The following is a 24357-nucleotide window of genomic DNA, read 5'->3' as shown; positions in this document are numbered from 1 at the left end:
TTGAAAGTCCATTTAGGGAGCAGTTAGATCCTACTCTACCTGTGCTTCCAAGTGGCCCTCAATCCATAATCTTAGAAGCAGATTGAAGGTTTACTTTATGAAAAAAACTAAAACAGAACCACTGAGCAATGGTTGACTGAGCAAACTGTGTGTGACTGAGCAAACTGTGGGATGGGAGCCACCTACTGAAAAGAGGGGGATTAAGTAAGACTCTACATGTTGAACATAACTACCTAGCCTTGTTCCTTCATGCAGCTCCCAAAATGCTGGCAGCTATATACTCCCCAGAAAATCTGACCCTAGAGAAAAGCCCTAAAGAAATGACATCTATGGAACACCAAGTGAAAAATCCAGGTGACTGGCCCCTGTTGCACAGCAAGGGCAGGATGGGAGCTATAAGCCTAGGGTGTGAGCAATGAAGAACTGTTTATAGATAATTTAAAACCAATAATTAAATTGATTAAAAGTTGGTTTGATTTTTATTATTACTCTGTGCAGCAGTTCTGAGTAACATGGCTCAACTTCAGTGATAGAGTACTCCTCCAAAAAAAAATGTTTTCTGGGTCTAAGTTTTGCAAGTGCTGTGACTATAATTGAATATTAGTAACATAAATGTAAACTTCAACTTGGCACATTTTAGTGTTCTACCTGAAAGTTCATTCAGAAAACTCCCCATTATTCAGTCAATTTCCAAGTAACAAAAACACAGCTGTATATGGTACCTTTGAGAGTAAGTTCAAAGGGCCAAATTCTTCCACTTTGATTTAGCTCAGTCCATGTCTCCAATCCCTGTGGCACTACATATTCCTGTGTTTAAGCAGTAGATTAAAAAATAAACACCGGGGTGGAGCCAAGATGGCCGAATAGGAACAGCTCCAGTCTACAGCTCCCAGCATAAAGGACACAGAAGATGGGTGATTTCTGCATTTCCAACTGAGGTACTGGGTTCATCTCACTGGGAAGTGCCGGACAGTGGGGGCAGGACAGTGGGAGCAGCGCACAGTGCGTGAGCCAAAGCAGGGTGAGGCATCGCCTCACCCGGGAAGTGCATGGGGTCAGGGAATTCCCTTCCCTAGTCAAAGAAAGGGGTGACAGACGGCACCTGGAAAATTGGGTCACTCCCACCATAATACTACGCTTTTCCAATGGGCTAAACAAATGGCACACCAGGAGACTATATCCCGCACCTGGCTCGGAGAGTCTTACGCCCACGGAGCCTCGCTCATTGCTAGCACAGCAGTCTGAGATCAAACTGCAAGGCGGCAGCGAGGCTGGAGGAGGGGCGCCCGCCATTGCCCAAGTTTGAGTAGTTAAACAAAGCGGCTCGGAAGCTCAAACTGGGTGGAGCCCACCACAGCTCAAGGAGGCCTGCCAGCCTCTGTAGGCTCCACCTCTGGGGTCAAGGCACAGACAAACAAAAGACAGCAATAACCTCTGCAGACTTAAATGTCCCTGTCTGACAGCTTTGAAGAGAGTAGTGGTTCTCCCAGCACGTAGCTTGAGATCTGAGAACAGGCAGACTGCCCCCTCAAGTGGGCCCCTGACCCCCGAGTAGCCTAACTGGAAGGCACCCCCCAGCAGGGGTGGACTGACACCTCACACGGCCATGGACTCCTCTGAGACAAAACTTCCAGAGGAACAATCAGGCAGCAGCATTTGTGGTTGACCAGTATCCACTCTTCCGCAGCCACCACTGCTGATACCCAGGCAAACAGGGTCTGCAGTGGACCTCCAGCAAACTCCAACAGACCTGCAGCTGAGGGTCCTGACTGTTAGAAGGAAAACTAACAAACAGAAAGGACATCCACACCAAAAACCCACCTGTACGTCACCATGATCAAAGGCCAAAGGTAGATAAAACCACAAAGATGGGGAAAAAACAGAGCAGAAAAACAATAAACTCTAAAAATCAGAGTGCCTCTCCTCCTCCAAAGGAATGCAGCTCCTCACCAGCAATGGATCAAAGCTGGACGGAGAATGACTTTGATGAGTTGAGAGAAGAAGGCTTCAGAAGATCAAATTACTCCGAGCTAAACAAGGAAGCTCAAACCAATGGCAAAGAAGTTAAAAACTTTGAAAAAAAATTAGACGAATGGATAACTAGAATAACCAATGCAGAGAAGTCCTTAAAGGACCTGATGGAGCTGAAAACCACAGCACAAGAACTACGTGATGAATGCACAAGCCTCAGTAACCAATGCGATCAACTGGAAGAAAGGGTATCAGCGATGGAAGATGAAATGAATGAAATGAAGCATGAAGAGAAGTTTAGAGAAAAAAGAATAAAAAGAAATGAACAAAGCCTCCAAGAAATATGGGACTATGTGAAAAGACCAAATCTACGTCTGATTGGTGTACCTGAAAGTGATGGGGAGAATGGAACCAAGTTGGAAAACACTCCGCAGGATATTATCCAGGAGAACTTCCCCAATCAAGGCAGGCCAACATTCAAATTCAGGAAATACAGAGAACACCACAAAGATACTCCTCGAGAAGAGCAACTCCAAGACATATAATTGTCAGATTCACCAAAGTTGAAATGAAGGAAAAAATGTTAAGGGCAGCCAGAGAGAAAGGTCGGGTTACCCACAAAGGGAAGCCCATCAGACTAACAGCTGATCTCTCAGCAGAAACTCTACAAGCCAGAAGAGAGTGGGGGCCAAGATGCAACATTCTTAAAGAAAAGAATTTTCAACCCAGAATTTCATATCCAGCCAAACTAAGCTTCATAAGTGAAGGAGAAATAAAATCCTTTACAGACAAGCAAATGCTGAGAGATTTTGTCACCACCAGGCCTGCCCTAAAAGAGCTCCTGAAGGAATCACTAAACATGGAAAGGAAAAACCGGTACCAGCCACTGCAAAAACGTGCCAGATTGTAAAGACCATCAATGCTTGGAAGAAACTGCATCAACTAACAAGCAAAATAACCAGCTAACATCATAATGACAGGATCTAATTCACACATAACAATACTAACTTTAAATGTAAATGGGCTAAATGCTTCAATTAAAAGGCACAGACTGACAAATTGGATAAAGAGTCAAGACCCATCAGTATGCTGTATTCAGGAACCCATCTCACGTGCAGAGACACATATAGGCTCAAAATAAAGGGATGGAGGAAGATCTACCAAGCAAATGGAAACCAAAAAAAGGCAGGGGTTGCTATCCCAGTCTCGGATAAAACAGACTTTAAACCAACAAAGATCAAAAGAGACAAAGAAGGCCATTACATAATGGTAAAGGGATCCATTCATCAAGAATAACTAACTATCCTAAATATATATGCACCCAATACAGGAGCACCCAGATTCATAAAGCAAGTCCTTAGTGACCTACAAAGAGACTTAGACTCCCACACAATAATAATGGGAGACTTTAACACCCCACTGTCAACATTAGACAGATCAATGAGACAGAAAGTGAAAAAGGATATCCAGGAATTGAACTCAGCTCTGCACCAAGCCGATCTAATAGACATCTACAGAACTCTCCACCCAAAATCAACAGAATATACGTTCTTTTCAGCACCACACCACACCTATTCCAAAACTGACCACATAGTTGGAAGTAAAGCACTCTGCAGCAAATGTAAAAGAACATAAATTATAACAAACTGTCTCTCAGACCACAGTGCAATCAAATTAGAACTCAGGATTAAGAAACACACTCAAAACCACTCAACAACATGGAAACGAAACAACCTGCTCCTGAATAACTACTGGGTACATAACAAAATGAAGGCAGAAATAAAGATGTTCTTTGAAACCAATGAGAACAAAGACACAACATATCAGAATCTCTGGGACACATTCAAAGCAGTGTGTAGAGGGAAATTTATAGCACTAAATGCCCACAAGAGAAAGCAGGAAAGATCTAAAATTGACACCCTAACATCACAATTAAAAGAACTAGAGAAGCAAGAGCAAACACATTCAAAAGCTAGCAGAAGGCAAGAAATAACTAAGATCAGAGCAGAACTGAAGGAGATAGAGACACAAAAAACCCTTCAAAAAATCAATGAATGCAGGAGCTGGTTTTTTGAAAAGATCAAAAGAATTGATAGACCGCTAGCAAGACTAATAAAGAAGAAAAGAGAGAACAATCAAATAGAAGCAATAAAAAATGATAAAGGGGATATCACCACCGATCCCACAGAAATACAAATCACCATCAGAGAATATTATAAACACCTCTACGCAAATAAACTAGAAAATCTAGAAGAAATGGATACATTCCTCGACACATACACTCTCTCAAGACTAAACCAGGAAGAAGTTGAATCTCTGAATAGACCAATAACAGGCTCTGGAATTGAGGCAATAATTAATAGCTTACCAACCAGAAAAAGTCCAGGACCAGATGGATTCACAGCCAAATTCTACCATAGGTACAAGGAGGAGCTGGTACCATTCCTTCTGAAACTATTCCAATCAATAGAAAAAGAGGGAATCCTCCCTGACTCATTTTATGAGGCCAGCATCATCCTGATACCAAAGAACGGCAGAGACACAACCAAAAAAGAGAATTTTAGACCAATACCCTTGATGAACATTGATGCAAAAATCCTCAATAAAATACTGGCAAACCGAATCCAGCAACACATCAAAAAGCTTATCCACCATGATCAAGTGGGCTTCATCCTTGGGATGCAAGGCTGGTTCAACATATGAAAATCAATAAATGTAATCCAGCATATAAACAGAATCAAAGACAAAAACCACATGATTATCTCAATAGATGCAGAAAAGGCCTTTGACAAAATTCAACAATGCTTCATGCTAAAAACTCTCAATAAATTAGATATTGATGGGATGTATCTCAAAATAATAAGAGCTATCTATCACACACCCACACCCAATATCATACTGAATGGACAAAAACTGGAAGCATTCCCTTTGAAAACTGGCACAAGACAGGGATGCCCTCTCTCAACACTCCTATTCAACATAGTGGTAGAAGTTCTGGCCAGGGCAATCAGGCAGGAGAAGGAAATAAAGGGCATTCAGTTAGGAAAAGAGGAAGTCAAATTGTCCCTCTTTGCAGATGATATGATTGTATATATAGAAAACCCCATCGTCTCAAACCAAAATCTCCTTAAGCTGATAAGCAACTTCAACAAAGTCTCAGGATACAAAATCAATGTGCAAAAATCACAAGCATTCTTATACACCAATAACAGAAAAACAGAGAGCCAAATCATGAGTGAACTCCCATTCACAATTGCTTCAAAGAGAATAAAATACCTAGAAATCCAACTTACAAGGGATGTGAAGGACCTCTTCAAGGAGAACTACAAACTACTGCTCAATGAAATAAAAGAGGATACAAACAAATGGCAGAACATTCCATGCTCATGGGTAGGAAGAATCAATATCATGAAAATGGCCATACTGCCCAAGGTAATTTATAGATTCAATGCCATCCCCATCAAGCTAACAATGACTTTCTTCACAGAATTGGAAAAAACTTCTTTAAAGTTCATATGGAACCAAAAAAGAGCCCACATTGCCAAGTCAATCCTAAGCCAAAAGAACAAAGCTGGAGGCATCATGCTACCTGACTTCAAACTATACTACAAGGCTACAGTAATCAAAACATCATGGTACTGATACCAAAACAGAGATATAGACCAATGGAACAGAACAGAGCCCTCAGAAATAATGCCGCATATCTACAACTATCTGATCTTTGACAAACCTGACAAAAACAAGCAATGGGGAAAGGATTCCCTATTTAATAAATGGTGCTGGGAAAACTGGCTAGCCATATGTAGAAAGCTGAAAGTGGATCCCTTCCTTACGCCTTATACAAAAATTAATTCAAGATGGATTAAAGACTTAAATGTTAGACCTAAAACCATAAAAACCCTAGAAGAAAACCTAGGCAATACCATTCAGGACATAGGCATGGGCAAGGACTTCATGTCTAAAACACCAAAAGCAATGGCAACAAAAGACAAAATTGACAAATGGGATCTAATTAAACTAAAGAGCTTCTGCACAGCAAAAGAAACTACCATCAGAGTGAACAGGCAACCTACAGAATGGGAGAAGATTTTTGCAATCTACTCATCTGACAAAGGGCTAATATCCAGAATCTACAATGAACTCCAACAAATTTACAAGAAAAAAAACAATCCCATCAAAAAGTGGGCAAAGGATATGAACAGACACTTCTCAAAAGAAGACATTTATGCAGCCAAAAGACACATGAGAAAATGCTCATCATCACTGGCCATCAGAGAAATGCAAATCAAACCCACAGTGAGATACCATCTCACACCAGTTAGAATGGCGATCATTAAAAAGTCAGGAAACAACAGGTGCTGGAGAGGATGTGGAGAAATAGGAACACTTTTACACTGTTGGTGGGACTGTAAACTAGTTCAACCATTATGGAAGTCGGTGTGGCAATTCCTCAGGGATCTAGAACTAGAAATACCATTTGACCCAGAAATCCCATTACTGGGTCTATACCCAAAGGATTATAAATCATGCTGCTATAAAGACACATGCACATGTATGTTTATTGTGGCACTATTCACAATAGCAGAGACTTGGAACCAACCCAAATGTCCAACAATGATAGACTGGATTAAGAAAATATGGCACATATACACCATGGAATACTATGCAGCCACAAAAAAAGGATGAGTTCATGTCCTTTGTAGGGACATGGATGAAACTGGAAACCATCATTCTCAGCAAACTATCTCAAGGACAAAAAACCAAACACCGCATGCTCTCACTCATAGGTGGGAATTGAACAATGAGAACACATGGACACAGGAAGGGGAACATCACACACCAGGGCCTGTTGTGGGGTGGGGGGAGGGGGGAGGGATAGTATTAGGAGATATACCTAATGCTAAATGACGAGTTAATGGGTGCAGCACACCAACATGGCACATGTATACACACGTAACAAACCTGCACGTTGTGCACATGTACCCTAAAACTTAAAGTATAATAATAATAAAATAAAAGAAATACATTTAAAAGTAAATAAATAAAAATAAAAATAAAGAAATAAACACCACCACCAAGTAATTGTGAAGAAAAAGAATCCTTGAATTACTTAATTTTGTCATTCTACATAACCACTTGGAGTTTTTATTTATGTTTACAAATTAAAGCAGTGACACAGAGAACTGTGAAGAATAACACTTTTGTTTGGCAATTGCAAAATTTATTTTATACATAAAATATTTCACTTAATTTGAATAAAATCTTTAAAACAGAAATTTATTCTCCTTTCTATTCATTGTTTTTCAGCTAAAGAACTAACCAAAAAATAATAACTGATTTTACAATTACTGACAATAATTTTGCTATATATGTACATATATAAACACATATATGTATTATAATAAATAAATATATTCACATATGTGCATAAACTGATCTGATCCAGATATCAAATATGCTAGGTACACCGCTGATTTGAACCCTACCTTACTCCTGTATCAGCACAGTCAGCAATGATCATCAGATACGTGAAATAAATACAAAGACCAAAATTAACAATCCAAAAAGAAACTTGGATGAAACAGAGACCATGCAGAGAAAGAAGGAAACTTAAACCTCAATCTAAAATTCTCAGAGACAAAAGAAAATATTGCCTTCTTGATGAGGAATAATAAGAATAGTATATTATTTTAGAAAGAAATGAAAGGAACTTTCTGAGCATAAGAAAGAATTGTTGGAATAAAAAATGTGGAGGCAAAAATCTTAAACATAGAATAAAAAGAGGGTAAAGTTGAGAAAATCTTAAAGGAAATAGGACCAAAAAATAACACAGTGGAAAATAGGAGAGAAAAGGTTTTTTTAAATAGAGGATTGATTTGGATGGTCTGGCCTCTGACTAATAGGCATTCCAGAAAGAACACCAAGTAAACAGATGGAAGTAAAAATCAGATAATATAGAGAACTTTCCCAGAACTAAAGGCCATGAGTTTCCAAATTGAAATGGCCTACCAAGTGCTGAGAACAATAAATGAAAAACAAACCACACCAAAGCAAACCACTGTGAAATTTCTAAATATTAGGAATAAAAAGAAATCCTAAGAAATTTCAGACAGAAAAAACAGGCATATACCAAGAGTCAGGCATCAATAAGACACTGAATTTTTCAAAAGCACTCTGAAATGAAGATGCTGGAGCAATGCTAGCAGTATTCTAACTTTTTAAAATATTTTAATCTAAAATTCTATCAGCAGCAAAATCAAGTGTAAATGTACAATAAAAATATTTTCTGATGGCCAAGGTCTCAAAAATATTACCTCCCATGTAACACTATGTCAGAAAGCTACTGACACATGGCTTCACAAAAATAAGACAGTAAACAGAGACATGCAGAAAATGAGAAATATAGTTTCAGAAGAGCTGTGAAGAGACGTCTAAGAATAACAATAATGGGAATACCCAGATCTGTACCTATGCAGCAGGCCTGGAAATTCCCCCAGTTCAGATTACAATAGGAAAATGAAATACTCCAGAAGAAATATCACCAAGGAAAGAAGTGGAATCAATTTCCAAAACCATCTTCTCCTGAAGAATGTGGAAACTAATTAGTATAGGTACATAACACTAGACAGATTTATTTAGAGAAAGAGATAATTTAAACTCCAAGAAAAACAAAAAGCTGGTACAAGAAAGAAAGGTAGTCATGGTAAGCTGTGAGCAATATTTACATCAACCCAATAATGTAAATATTGAGTAATTTAAAAAATAATTATGACATAACTGCCTTGGGTGAATGAGGCTGGAGAGAAGTTGGTGTGTTTATGAGTTGTATTAGTCCATTCTTGCATTGCCATAAAAAAAACTAACTGAGACTGGGTAATTTATAAAGCAAAGAGGCTTAATTGGCTCACAGTTCTGTGGGTGTGCTGTACAAGTTTTGGTTTATGGGGAGGCCTCAAGAAATTTACTGTATTAGTCCATTTTTACGCTGCTGATAAAGACATACCTGAGTCTGGGCAATTTACAGAAGAATGAGATTTAATGGACTTACAGTGCCACGTGGCTGGGAAGGCATCACAATCATAGCAGAAGGTGAAAGGCACATCACACATGGTGGCAAACAAAAGAAAAGAGCTTGTGCAGGGAGACTCCCATTTTTAAAACCATCGGATCTTGTGAGACTTATTCACTATCATGAAAACAGCACAGAAAAGACCTGCCCTCATGAGTCAATTACCTTCCACCCAGTTCCTGCCACAACACATGGGAATTCAAGATGAGATTTGGGTGGAGACACAGCCAAATTACATCACTTACAATCAAGGTAGAAGCCAAAGAGGAAGGAGGCACCATCCTTACATGGCAGAACAGGAGAGAGAGAGAGAGGGAGGGGGAAGATGCCACATACTTTTAAACAACCAAGTCTCTGAGCACTCACTCACTATCACAAGAGCAGCACTGAAGGGGATATCTGCTCCCATGATTCAACCACCTCCCATGAGGCCCCTCCTCCAACACTGGGGATTACAACTTAACACGAGGTTTGGGTGGAGACACAGTGCCAAATCATATCATTCTGCCCAAGGCCCCTCCCAAATCTCACATCCTTCTCACATTTCAAAACACAATCATGCCTTTCCAACAGTACCCCAAAGTCTTAACTCATTTTAGAATTAACTGAAAAGTCCACAGTCCAAAATCTCATCTGAGACAAGATAAATCCCTTCCACCTATGAGCCTGTAAAATCAAAAACAAGTTAGTTACCTCCAAGATACAATGACGGTATATGCATTGGGTAAATAGTCTCTTTCCAAAAGGGAGAAATCGTCCAAAACAAAGGGACTTCAGGCCCCATGCAATTGTGAAACCCAGCAGGGCCGTAATTAAATCTTAAAGCTCAAAAAAAATCTCCTTTGACTCATGTCTCTCATCCAGATCACACTGATACAAAGTGTGGGTTTCCCAAGTCTTCAAGTAGCTCTGCTCCTGTGGCTATGCAAGGTACAGTCTCCATGGCTGCTTTCATGGGCTGGCATTGAGTGCCTGCAGCTTTACCAGGCACACACTGCAAGCTGTTGGTGGATCTACTATTCTGGGTTCTGGATGACAGTGGTCTTCTTCTCAAAGCTCCACTAGGTGGTGCCCCAGTAGGGACTCTGTGTGGGGGCTCCAGCCCCACATTTCCCCTCTGCACTGCCCTAGTAGGGATTCTTCATGAGGGCTCTGCCTCTGCAGCAGAATTCTGCTTGGACATACAGGCATTTCCATACATCCCCTGAAATCAAGGCAGAGGCTACCAAAACTCAACTCTTGTCCTCTGTGCACCCACAGGCTTAACACCGTGTGGAAGGCTTGGCAGATTCCAGCTTGTCCCCTCTGGAGCAGTGGCCTGAAATGTATCTGGGACACTTTAGCCAAAGCTGGAACAGCTGGGATGCAGGGAGCAGTGCCCCAAGGTTGCACCAGGCAGCAGGGCCCTGGGCCCAGCCCACAAAACCATTCTTTCCTCCTAGGCCTCTGGGCCTGTGATGGGAAAGGCTGCTGCAAAGCTCTCTGAAATCCCTTCCAGAAATTTTCCCCATTGTCTTGGCTATTAATATTCAGCTCCTCTTTACTTATGCAAATTTCTGCAGCTGTCTTGAATTCCTCCCCAGAAAATGGGTTATTCTTTCTACCACATGGCTGGGCTGCAAATTTTCCAAACTTTTATGGTCTGCTTTCTTTTTAAATATAAGTTCCAGTTTAGGTCATTTCTTGGCATATGCATACGATTATAGGATTTTCAAAGCAGCCAGGCCACATCGTGAACCCTTTGCTGCTTAGAAATTTCTTCCACCAGATACCATAAATCATCTCTCTCAAGGTCAAAGTTCCACAGATCTCTAGAACAGGGCGCAATTCTGCCATTTTTTTGTTTGTTTTATTTTTTTGTTTGTTTGTTTTTTCTTGCTAAAGAATAGCAAGAGTGACCTTTACTCCATTTCCCAATAAGTTCTTCATCTCTATCTGAAACTACCTCAGCCTGGACTTCACTGTCCCTATCACTATCCGCATTTTGGTCACAACCATTCAACAACTCTCTAGGAAGTTCCAAACTTTCTTACATCTTCCTGTCTTCTTCTGAGCCCTCTAAACTGTTCTAACCTCTGCCCATTACCTGGTTCCAAAGTCCCTTCCACATTTTCAGATTTCTTTATAGCAATACCCAATTTCTCTGGTACCAATTTTCTGTGTTAGTCTGTTCTCACACTGCTACCTGAGACTGGGCAATTTATAAAGAAAAGAAGTTTAATTGGCTCACAGGACTGCAGGCTGTACAGGTTTCTGCTTATGGGGAGGCCTCAGAAAACTTACAGTCATGGCAGATGGTGAAGAGGAAGGAGGCACTGTCCTCATATGATGAAACAGGAGAGAGAGGGAGAAACAGGGGAGGTGCCACACTTTTAAACAACCAATCTTCAAGCACTCACTCACTATCACAAGAGCAGCATTGAGGGGGAAATCTGTCTCCATGATCCAACCACCTCCCACCAGGCTCCTTCTCCAACACTGGGGATGACAATTCAACATGAGATTTGGGCGGGGACACAGAGCCAAGCCATATCATGAGTTATTTAAGGGATTTAAATTTTTATCTTTTATAAGAAAAGTCAATAATTATAATGAGAAGTAGCAGTATCATATTATTTAGAAATATAGAACTACATATTAAGGAATAAAGCTAAAATAAACAAAAACAGCTGTCTCTGGGGAATCTGACTTAGGACGGGAAGGTAGGAAACTGATATTTCTAATTCTTATCTACTATTTGACTTTTTATAATTCTGTATATGTATTGCTTTTGGTAACATATTTAAAAGGGAGAAGCAGGAAACCAGAATTTTATTGGAAACTCCCAAGTTTAATATGTGTTGAAAATTAATACAAAATTAACAGATAGAAAGGTAGGAGGACACCTCAGGGTTCAAACAACATACCTCCCTAACTAACCTCTCTATGCCAGACCAGGCATCTGGGCCACAGGAAGGTTTTGAAGGGTAGAAAAGTAATACTTATTGAGCAACTAGCGCATGCTAGCACCATTAGAGAAGATTTTCAGAGATCATTCTGCTTCATCTTCACCACGACCCTGAGGAGTAGAGAAATTATTTTACAGATGAAGGACTAAGTCTCTGAAGGATGAAGAACATAATTGCAAGCACTCGTTTATATTTCCAACTGTGAACTTCAGAGGACTGTGGACGGCATCTGACAACTGACAACTGATTCTCATCACACCTCAGATGTGTGGAGTCATTTTACATATGAGAAAATTGAGACTCACCAAGGTCAAGTGACTGACTTTGTTATACAATGAGTAAGCAGCAGAGCTGCAATGTGGCCCCAGCCTCCAATTACAACTCCCTACTCTGAGCCTTTGGGAGACACAAACTGTGTCTTCTCCCTGTTTGTACCCCCAGCACCTCATACACTGTGCATGGCACATAGGAAATGCTCGCTCAAAGTCTGTTGACTGAAGCAGGCAAGGCTCTGAAGGGGTCTCACCTAGTTCATTAGCCCATTAGCACAGGTTGATTCCAGTAGAATCAAGCTCCCAAACTTCCTCTTTCTAGGTGCCATGCATGTGACTTGTACAAGGGCTGTCTGGATGCAGCTTCTGCAAGGGAAGACCCTTTCTCCAGAACAAGAGAGAACCATTTAGTTCACCTTCAAGTGACCCAGAAAAAGTCAATTTACAGCTCTCCAGTCCAGGACTTAACACTGAAATGTCACACACTTAAATCACAGGACAAGAGCATTTTCACTCTCACGAAATAGCAAAATTAAATCTTTAATGCCAAAAATAAAATAAAACTGTGGAAACAATTTTGGAGCCCACAGAACTTTCAAAAATGTTATTAACAAACTGTGAAATCAGGGAGATAAAAATCAGACACCCTGAGGGGGAACAGCAGGGCCCCCAGTCCAACCTCCTCACCCTGAGTCATGGAGAGACCAGTTTCCACTCTGTGAGTCCAGGAAGCAGGGGGTATGGAGCTAATGCATGTCTCCTGCTCCACGCTGGCTCTTAGGGCAACACTTGGAACATGGGATGAGTAAATTCTCCAACATATGAAATTGTTGAGAAATTGGGTTCATTCTCGTAGTTTCCCTTGGCCGATTCAACACCTCTGGGCAGGAATCGGAATTACACAGCTTATCACTAGGGCTTCCACAATAATAAATTTAAAATTATTCCCAAGAAAGAAGTACTTGTTGTATGGATTAAGTACTGTAGAGCATTCACAAAGAGCAGGGTGGATTACAAAATATTTCCAAAAGTTCCTCTTTCTTGTCTAAGATCTTTGCAGTAATGGTGATGTTAGCAGGATTCTGTTCTGCTCTTAATCAGAAAAATTTGGAGTCAGTTAACTTTATTGCTCACAGAGATGCTTCCTAAGACTAGAGAGATGATGGAATAACATCTAGAGAAGTGTATCTACCCCTAACCATGTGGCAGGGTGGTTACCTATCTAAAGTCTCTTGCCAGGTTTAAGAGGACGAGCATGTGTGAGTATGAGGAGGCTATGGCCCTATGTCCAGGAAACACAGATCTAATACCACCCCCGACCCTCGGATCCTCAGAAAAAAAAACAACACCAAAGTCCCCAAGCAATAGAATAGGGATAAGAGAAAAGGGTACAATTCTACAGACATTCATAGCTTTCCTGTAACAGTCTTCCTTGTTCTCCTGACACTGGCTCACAGGAATTTCTGAAGAACCTACTGCAGGCCCTCTGGAATATCAAATTTTTCCAGCCCTGCTCTCTGAACACAAGTTGCACAAAACTGCAAGGGTAGTTCTATATTTCTAACCATAAGTATTAAACCAGGTGGCTACTAGGCCTCCTTAGGGCCAGCAGGGTGATTCACTTCCATTCCCACTTCTATTCCCACTTCTATTCCCACTTCTGTTAAAAGTCTATTAAAGACCAATAGATAAAGCACCACAAAAATGCACATTTTTTAACTCATTCATACTTGGCATGGGAATCTCTGATTTTAACCAACATTACAAGGGAAACACTTGGATCGTGGGGGCTGGTATATCTTAGAGAAAGTCATGCAAGCAAGACTGAACTGCCTATATACATCTTCACGAATGTTCTCTGTCAATCTTTGCTCAAGAATCCTTGAAATCATGCAGTATTTCCTGGAAAAATCTCTCTTTCCTCCTTACTCAAACTTGAGGTGATGTAACCATCCTGTGTTAGGGCAGAATTATCAGCTTTAGAAATAGTTTGTCTTACAGGGTTTTTGCATTTGGGAGAAGAGTGGTTGCTGTGCTTGCCTGGCTTTGAGGACTGTCAGTCCTTTCACTGTTCTGCAAATCGACAGTCCAAAAGTGCATTAATGCTTCAAATCAAAATTATCTCCATCATATTTTTTCATATTTGCCACCCCCAAAACATCTGAAATGCTGCTGAGTATACTTGACCTTTTCTGGTGCAATTCAAGCTCAATAAATAAAACTCCACCTCTGGAATCTTTCTATGCAAATGCAAGCTTTATAATAAAGGTTGTCTCTATATTGATGGTGGAATCAGATATGGCACAACTACCCTAAAAGAGAATCTGGGACTCTGTAGTGTAGTAAAAGCCTGCAAATAATTATATCTGAGGTCACCCTTCACTTCCAACAACTTATCCTGTGGTAATTAGGAGTGTTCCTAAAGATGCTTACGCCAGCAGTTTTTATGATGGGAAAAATTTGAAATCAATCCAAAGTTTCATTAATAAGACATTGTTTCAATTAATTATTAATCTTTGTATGATGCATGGATATATATTAAAGGTAATATCAGTAGGATTATCTAATGTACTGGTTACACAGTGAGAGACATAGAAAGAGTGAAGTTTCGGCCTGAATAACTTTAAAACATGAGAGTGCCACTTACTGAGTTAGGAAACGCTGGAGGAGGAGCAGCTATAGGGCTAATCAAAACGATGTTTGCCCGAGTTCATGATCATGATCCCAGTTTACACTCAGATGTGCTTACTGGCTCTGGGCCAGGCACAGCTGTACTATTTGACAGCTATATTCACTCATTTAATTATCAGAGTAATTCTTAGAGATAGATTACTATGATTGCACCTGGGATTATGATTTACTTTTTATATCTAAATATTCCAAATATCTAAATATTCATTTACAGTGAATATGTGTACCTTATATATAAAGGCAAGTTGAATGTGTGTGTGTGATCACCCCAGTGACAAATAATGATACATGTATCAATTTTAGTACTCACTGAGTCCCTAGTGATTGCTCAATCTAGGTTGCTATGAGATTCACAAGTGATCTTTTAGTTCAGCAGTTTTCAACTTTTTTTTTCCTGCCAGGCAAGATGAGTTCATATGCAAGACTCAGTCCCATGGAAACCCCCAGAGTAATACATAGTTCCCTGTACCCTAGTTGTAATTAAACCCCCTTTTCCTCTCACTTTTAAAAACACTGGACTTCAAATGAAAGAAATAAAAATATTAAAGGGATAACCTTGAATCTGCTCTAATTGTTTTCATGTGAAATTTTGCAACTAGATTACTTTATCTATTATACCTAATACATCTGAACACGTTATTCACAACACATCCCAAAAAAATGGAGACTCACCAGTGTGTCCTTACATCAAGCTGAGATCCTCTGGTTTAGATGATTGTATGAATCAGATTCCTAGATGGTACTCATTTTTTTTTAAGTTAGGATCTCACTCTGTCACCCAGGCTGGAGTGCAGTAGTGCAATCATAGCTCACTACAACCTCAAACTCCTAGGCTCAAGCAATCCTCATGCTTCAGCCTCCCAAAGCCTTGTGATTACAGGCATGAACCACTGCACCCAGCCTGATTTTCTTTTCAACATTTTATAAATGAGAGCTCTTATTTAGTTCTGTCTTTTCTCTCCAATCACTAGGCTTCAACCACAAGTTTGGCTGTTTTGTCCAACAATTTTCATCTATGTGAACACATGCAATGAAGTACAGAGAGCTGGAGTGATTATAGCTCCTTACACTAACTAAGGAGACATTTGAGACAGGGGTCCCCACTAACTACCATGATACTCTCCCTTCTAGAGACTTGCGCAACTCTACCTGCCATGAGAATAACAGATTTGCATGGAATTCTGACTGTGCTCTGTTGCTATCTGATATTTTCAGGGTACATAAGTGCAAGATGAAACAATCATATCCAATTTAAAATGAAAAATCAGACTGAGACCTCGGCTCATTATGCTCCTCCATTAATGCCTAGTAAGCTCCCTGATTCTGGAATTTCACCAAAAGCAGTCACATTCAATTACTATAACTCCAAAATAAATATCTATTTTTATTTTCTTTTGAGAATGTAGAGAGGAATCCCATCATAACACGACTCTTATTAAATAGAATTGGATACGCCTTGGATCAAATTGAGTCTCCTGAATCATGAACATTGGAAATGGAAAGGAATTAGAGATTACATCATCCAACACTGTCACTTAATAGATGAGGAAAAAGATTCTCAGAGAAATTGAGTGATCTGCCCAGGACCACACAGAAGTGAGGACCAGAACCCAGCTAACCTTACCCTGAGTACAGGGCTCTTTCCACCCACTAGACTATGTGACCTGCCACTGCCACTGCCACTGCTGATGGTCTCAGTTGGCCACACAATCATTCCCAGGAGAGGACTAGGGAAACATCAACCACAACTGTACCCTATGCCTCATGTCCCCCATAGCATCAGAGCTGGATTGTCAAGGACAGAAGAAAACCCACCCAGGCAGCAGAACTAACACCTAGTGCCTCGTGGCTGGGGATCACGCGGGCGTTCAGCTCTACCCTAGATTCCAAGCTAGATATTGTGAAAGGAAATTTGGAAGGACTAAAGAAAAAGAAAGAGAAGGCTAGCAAGAAAATAAATTGTGCTCATGGATGTGTAGAAAATTAAGGCGACATTAAGGAAATACAGGTAAGAAGCATTTAAGAATCAAGCCTTTGTCTTTTAAAAGTTACTTTCAATAACAACTGTATCAGAGAATTTCTCTCCTTATAAATATTTGCTCAATTTCTAAATAAAATAACATGTAAATCACAATTATTTTCTTGCCTTACACCTTCTCTTGCACCCCAGCTCCAATTTCTTCAACAGGCCAGCTAGTAAGAAAACCCCAGCTTGCATAGCAGTCAAGAGTCAAAAAGCTTATAATAGGAATGGTTTTAAAAATCTAAACTTGGCAGTGCTATCAGCTCTGCAGTAATCACGAGCAACATGTTATTACCTTTGAGAGTACATTTAGATGTGGAAATATCATTTAGACTTTATGCCAACCATATAGGATAGCATTTTCCTGCCTATAACTATTTACCACAAGCTAGTAACCAACCACTGACTTTTATATACACTGTAGAATACTATAAACAGGCTGGGTTTATCTAACAAAATGCTTTACCCTCTGTTTTGATGACAAGCATGACAGTTCCCAGGTAGCCACCCTTTGGAAAGCCTTCCTTTAGGGGTGACAAGTCAGACTGCCATGTCAGTTACAGTGGCAGGTCTGTCCTGGAGTTGCATTTTTGCAGGATTGTCCCTGCTGGCTCAAATTCCTGGTTAGCTATTCCTTGGACTTACTGATTCAGTAGGATCTGCAAATAATGCTAGTAGGTCATATGCAAATCACATCACAGAGAAAACTGCCCCTCTGTTTTAATTACTAATAATGATTGTAATTACTAATAATTACTAATAATGACCTTTCAGGGAACTGGTCAGGATCCTCTTCCTGAGGCTGCCATTTGCTGCACCATCTTGGACCATTCTTCCTCTCTAAGCCTCCATTCCCTCATCTGTAAAATAATGCAAGGAGTGAAGAGGATTGCTCCAGTTGTCTCAGGCTCTGACATTCTGCAGCTTGGTTTTGGGAAAAAGTTGAAGTAATTGAAAACAACTAGCTGTGAGAATATTACGAGAGACTCTCGTTGCAGGTCAGGGCAATCCCTTACTAATGATAACGCAGATGCTGCCTGAGCTAAGGCTAAGAGGTTGTTCATTTAGATGTTTGTATGAGGATCTGCAATTCTTTGCAGAAGCATTAACATTTAAGTGTACATTTCTGGGCTATCTTTCCCTTGCTGAGTCTTGAGAGTTTTACACATATTTAACCAAGAACTGGTGTACCTTCTCAACATGCACCCAGATTATGTTTAATTCCAGGACATATCACACAGTTGACATCCTCCTCAATGAGATTCAGAAAGTGTCAGTTGGCCAGATACAGATTTTATTAATGTAACCTAATTATTAATATCTCCTCACTGGAGTCCAGCTCTTTTACTGATTTGGAATCCTGATACTTCATAATTTCTCAAGCTCTGTTCACTATCTGCAGAGTCAGCTGCCTTCATCATTCTCAATTCACCAGGCCTGCTATTGTGAAAGTACCAGCTATGGCCTGTAACACTCCTCAACCCCAGCTTTCCAAATAAGCCTCCATAAAATATTACTGAAAGAAAAGGTAATGGCAATGATAAAATAGCTTGCAAAAGCTGCATTCCATCCATAATACTGGATTTCTGTGGATACTTTTATAGCAAAATAAAACCATGCCATATTTTATCAGGGAAATTGTGCCATATTTTAATTCTAAGTGTGTAGATTTATCTTGTGTGAAGCAACCCCAATATATTAAAATCTGGCAATATTAAGTTGGTAAATTCTAGAGTAGTTACTTAAAAATATTTTTAAATTACCAGTAAAGTTTTTGTAAAGTAACTAATTAATGGTTATTACTTTTTCCACAAACAGAAGAGTGAAATTAATTTAAGCCTCTGCCTGCACTGAGAGCCCCCAAAACAGATCTTAGTAATTTATACAAGTATCTTATAAAGTCTTATAGCTGATATGATCCAAGCACTATTTTAACTTGTACCGATATTAATTCCTTTAATCCTCAGAACAATCATGTGAGATAGATTGGTTAGCATCTCTCTGAGACACTGACAGATGAAGTGGTTTGCCAGAATCATCCTCTAGTTAAGTGAAAGGACTCAGATTTGCACCAAGGCACCCTGGCGCCACACTGCATCCTCCTAACCTCATGGCTAAGCTTACATTTTAAAATGATAAACTTGCTTAGTACATTTACAGGTGATATGATTTTTAATTTTTTTAATGTTAGTTTTAAAACCAAAGTACTTTAACTTAGCCCAGACTCACAGCCAGGTCTATGAGCAGTGCTTCCCATGAGTTTTGAACTAGAGGCATAAATTTGTCATGAGTCAATCAGTTGCAATGACAGAAACTCACATTGAAGCAAAACACAGACTTGTTGGAGATATCAAACTGAGATATTGGGGTGGAGTTGGCCTCAAGGACTACAAAGGACTCAAAAATTATCAAAACTCACTACTCGTAGTTCTCACATCTGACTTCCTTTGCCTCTTGGCCACATTCTCTTCTCTTCTTTTTTTTAAATATTTTGATTATACTTTAAGTTCTAGGGTACATGTGCACAATGTGCAGGTTTGTTACATATGTATACTTGTGTCATGTTGGTGTGCTGCACCCATCAACTCGTCATTTACATTAGATATATCTCCTAATGCTATCCCTCCCTACTCCCCACACCCCACAACAGGCCCCAGTGAGTGCTATCTGATCTTTGATAAACCTGACAAAAACAAGAAATGCGGAAAGGATTCCCTATTTAACAAATGGTGCTGGGAAAACTGGCTAGACATATGTAGAAAGCTGAAAATGGATCCCTTCCTTACATCTTATACAAAAATTAATTCAAGATGGATTAAAGACTTAAATGTTAGACCTAAAACCATAAAAAACCCTAGAAGAAAACCTAGGCAATACCATTCAGGACACAGGCATGGGCAAGGACTTCATGTGTAAAACATCAAAAGCAATGGCAACAAAAGCCAAAATTGACAAATGGGATCTAATTAAACTGAAGAGCTTCTGCAGAGCAAAAGAAACTACCATCAGAGTGAACAGGCAACCTACAGAATGGGAGAAAATTTTTGCAATCTCTTCTATTCTTTTACTGAAGATGGGAAATGAGATGAGAGGCTTGCATGAGGGAGAAACAAAAGAGCAGTTGCCCAGGTCCCCCAGGACTCATGAGCAGAATGATCACCCGTATTGTCTACTGCAGATTTCTACTACAGAGAAATCAATTCCTATCCAGTTTAAGCTGCTGATATTTGGGGCCTCTATGACCTACAGCCAAACCAAATCTTAACTAAGTCTAGAAATGAAGTAATATTTAAACGTGCCAGGATATAAGGAACCTAAGTGAGGGACCGGGGGATGCTCACTTGGTGAGAGAATGGAGAGATGAGAATTTGTTGTTGTGCTTTCATGGAGAGGACCACCCTGGGGCCAAGCACCATGCTGGGCATCTGGACACACTAACTTGTTTCATCCCCAGCATCAACTCTCTGAATTCTCCATAGCTATGACCATTTCACAACTGAAAGAATAGTCAGGTGACTTAAGTCTTTTTTCTAAGGTCACACAGCTAGGAAGAGAGAGAGGTAGGATTTGAGCCCACGTGGAGCTGTCTCTCTGCTATGCAGCCTGCCTCCTCGGCCTCCTGATCCAGGGGTTTTATTGTGTGTGAAAACATAATACAAAAGGTAGTTATTTCACCCACAGATTAAACACAGAAGACGCCTCAATACCAAGCTTGCCAATCCATTGAAAACATTCAACGTTTCAAGTTCCTTTACACCCAGCTTCAGGAATATGTGCATGGCATCTCTTAAGCTTCTCCTCCACTGCGGGCTGCTTTGCTGCAAGACAGTCCACTTGCCTTTGGGTTAGGGGAGAAGGCAGTTTCACTTTGGGAAATATCCTAACAGATAAATTAAATTCAGAGATGAAACCTTTCTTCCCTGACTGCAGAGCACATTAGCAACAGAGTCAAGCCCAGATCTTGTCGCCCCAGGTTTGCTTCCTTGTAAGACTTGCTTCCACTCCAAAAGTCCTCTCGCCCTGCAGAAATCTTGCAAGAGTTCAATGCCAGAGCTTGGTCAACCACTATTATGGAGCTGACAGATTCTTGGCTCTTCCAAGTTTTTTTTTTTCTTTTTTTTTTCAAATGAATAAGTAGGTCTAATTAGGTTTATCATAGGAACAAAAGTTCTTCTGGAAAGTTAATTCTTTAAAATGGTTGAAATGAAAAATAATACTTCTTCCCCACCCTTCAGAGTCCTCTCTGATTTAAGCAGATGAAAACACTAGCATTTCTAAACCCGAGGCTCTATTTGGGATGTGGAATATAAAGTGCCTTTTCTAGCCATTGTGACAGGAAAGGAATGTACAGGTTTCTCAAAAGAAGATTGCAGGACCCATGCTGATCTAATTTATGTATCTTCCTGCCAGGAAAAAAAAGAAAAAAAACCCTCATGGATGTGGCACTTATTCAATGATTATTTGATATTTTAGATATTCAGGGCATATTTGGAAATATTTTTAAATTGAATTTTAAAACTTCTATAAAGAGAAAATACACTCTTTTCAAGTCTTAACTTCTGGACAGCCACACTGGAAAGTACTCCTCACATGCAGAAAGAGATTAATGATTAGAAGACAACACACGGAAATGTGACAATTATTAAGTCCGTGAACCGATTATAATGTTAGTCAAGTATGACTCATGGGATTGTATCTGGCTTTGGGTTTGGGTGTTAGCAATAATCATTTGGAATAGCTCCTTTAGCAAACCAGTCACCTCATTTTGCTCTTTCTTTACCTCAAAGGAGAGGAACAATGAAAGAGGAGCCTTGCCTGGAGTGCATGAGCACACTCAAGCCAATGTGTGATCAATGGAGAGGTGGGGGTGTAGGGCACTAACTGAGGCTCTGGACAAAGGGAAAAAGTCCTTCGTGTCAGAAATCTGCTTTGTGGGAGCTGGGTGGTTTTTAAAGGACTTTGTGCAGAGCTTCTCAAATGTGAATCCACTTAGGAGACACAATATTTTAAAAACTTCTATAACAAAATAAATTATTTATTAATAAGCAAGCATATTAGTGTTTCATCAGTTCTAGGGATGGGTTCTGTTTATCTCAATATCCCACTGCTGTATTAGCTTCCTAGGGCAGTAATTGCCACAAATGTGGTAGCTTAGAACCATAGAAATGTATGCCCTTACAGTTCCAGGGGCCAGAAGTGTGAAGTGAAAGCGTCAGCAGGGTTGGTTCCTTCTGGAGGCTCTGAGGGAGGACCTACTCCCTCCAGCATCTGGTGGCTGCCCATAGTTCTTGGTGCTTCTGAGCTTGTAAATGCATCACTCCAACCTCTGCTTTCTTCTTCTCATGGCCTTCCTCTCTGTGTCTCTCTGTGTCTCTTCCTTTTCTCTTATGAGGACACCCATCAGTGAATTTAGGGCCCTTCCTCATCCAGGATGACTTGATCTCTAGATCCTTGCCTTAATCACAATGGCAAAAACTCTTACTCCAAATAAGGTCACCTTCACAATTCTGGTTTCACATTCTTTTGCGGGGGGTGGGGAATATTTAACCCACTACAGAAGCAATGATGTCAGTCCCTGGAAACTCCTGAGGTTCATCGTCTTGGCTTCATGTCTAAGCTCTCTCCTTTTCTCTTTTCTTTTGTTTCACTTTCTACTTCCCTTCCCCTCTAACACACGCAACACAGAGTTTGTAACTTGATTACTCCTGCTCCATTGCAGTACTTGACAAACTAAAGTAAGATATACACACCAATAAAAATAAACACTTTCACAGACGCTGGTTGAATTTAACTATCTTAATTTCATTTCAATGTGCACAATGTAGAACTAGGTTTAAAGTTCTTAAGCATAAAGTTCTTATGCAATCATAAAACAAAAACAAATCTATGAACTAAACACAATGAAAGTATAAAACCAATAAAATTTTAATTTATTCATTCCAAAAGGTTTTTATTGAGTATCTATTATGTACCGGATACTGTCGAAAGTGCTAGAGGTACAGTGATAAATAAAACAGACAAAAGTAGCTAACCACATGGATTACACTTACACACTTCAGTATATTGATAATTCTGAAAGAACCAGGTAATATTAACATGCCCAAACCAAACACAATTCACAAGGGACTCTATGAAACTAACTGCTACTAACCAACGTCATTTGAGTTCAGCCTATCTATGCCACCGTTTACCACATAATAACCCAATTCTACAACCTTTTGTCTGTATTCCAGTAACTGCAAACATTTCCTCCATATAATGAACTATAATATCATGTGGTACAATCACATCATTTACATATTAAACCCACCCTTTCCTTTTCTCATTAAGCTTCAACATTTTAACAATAGATCACTCGGCCACACCATCCCATTTTCTTGCAAACCAAATCAACAAGTCCATATATCAAATACTCAAGGAACCAAAATTTTGCTCTATGAAAGTTCCTTCTGAGAGCAAATTTCACTGCAAAGGAGAAATTGTGCCTTTGCAACTGATTTTTAAAATTTGACCTTCACACTCTGGTCTTTTTTTTTTTTTTTTTTTTTTTGCATGTCCTGGTTTATAGCTTCATCAGGATTCCCTATATTTCTAGAGTCTTAATTCCAAAAGCACACAAGGATGGAAAACACTGCTCCACCCCAATATTTCATATACTCATCCCCTTATTTTTTCTTTCCAGCATTTAGAAGAAACAATGGGATATGTAAAATATATTTGCCAAATTTCAACTTAACATTTTAGCACTTTTGCTTAGCTGTTACCTGCCAAAATAATGAATATCCCAGAAGCACCACAACTCAATCTTAGACAGAAAGCCAGAGACAAGGGGGTTGTAGGGAAAATGCTATTATTCTATAGTGACCATTTAGTCATTCACACCTCCTTGATACCCTATGCTGTCTGGACCCCTGAATCCCAGGCATCCACAGGAGCAAATGCACCAGAGCTCATCACTGTTACATAAAGAGTTTAAAATATGTATTTTAAAGTCATTTAGGACAATTTTGTTCTTTGAGCATTGCTAGTGTTCAGACTCCTGGGTAAACAGTCATCTGCTGAACAGTGGCAGCCAAGAACGGTTACTATGATTTTGACTTTAGGAGCAACCAACCCAGTGGCAACCAGGCGTGCCTAACAGCACATTAAACGTTAAATGCTGTCATTTTGGCAATTACGTGGTGCCAATTCTCAACTACAAATACAAAGAAAATACAGCATCTAAATCATACAGCAGGTTTAGTTACAATATGGTTTATTCAGATGATCAAAAAGAAAAGGCAGCCTTTTCAAAATCTTAGGGAGCACTTGCTGGGCCTTGAGAAGGTATCTATAGACCCTGATTGGGAAACACAGATCCACACACGTGTTAGACTTCCTTTG

At 39.9% G+C, this 24357-nt stretch overlaps 1 long non-coding RNA gene across 1 annotated transcript in view; it reads right to left on the bottom strand.

Annotated features, from left to right (window-relative positions):
- Positions 1-24357, bottom strand: part of LOC101927947 (uncharacterized) — a 469997-nt gene that overhangs the window by 313755 nt on the left and 131885 nt on the right. Inside the window, exon 8 of the long non-coding RNA XR_007058336.1 lies at positions 17742-17834. This is a non-coding gene — a long non-coding RNA (uncharacterized LOC101927947). The remainder of the gene's footprint in view (positions 1-17741; positions 17835-24357) is intronic.

Source organism: Homo sapiens, chromosome 4, assembly GCF_000001405.40.
Source record: "Homo sapiens chromosome 4, GRCh38.p14 Primary Assembly".
Lineage (NCBI taxonomy): Eukaryota > Metazoa > Chordata > Mammalia > Primates > Hominidae > Homo > Homo sapiens.
This window is presented reverse-complemented; position numbering and strand designations above follow the sequence as displayed.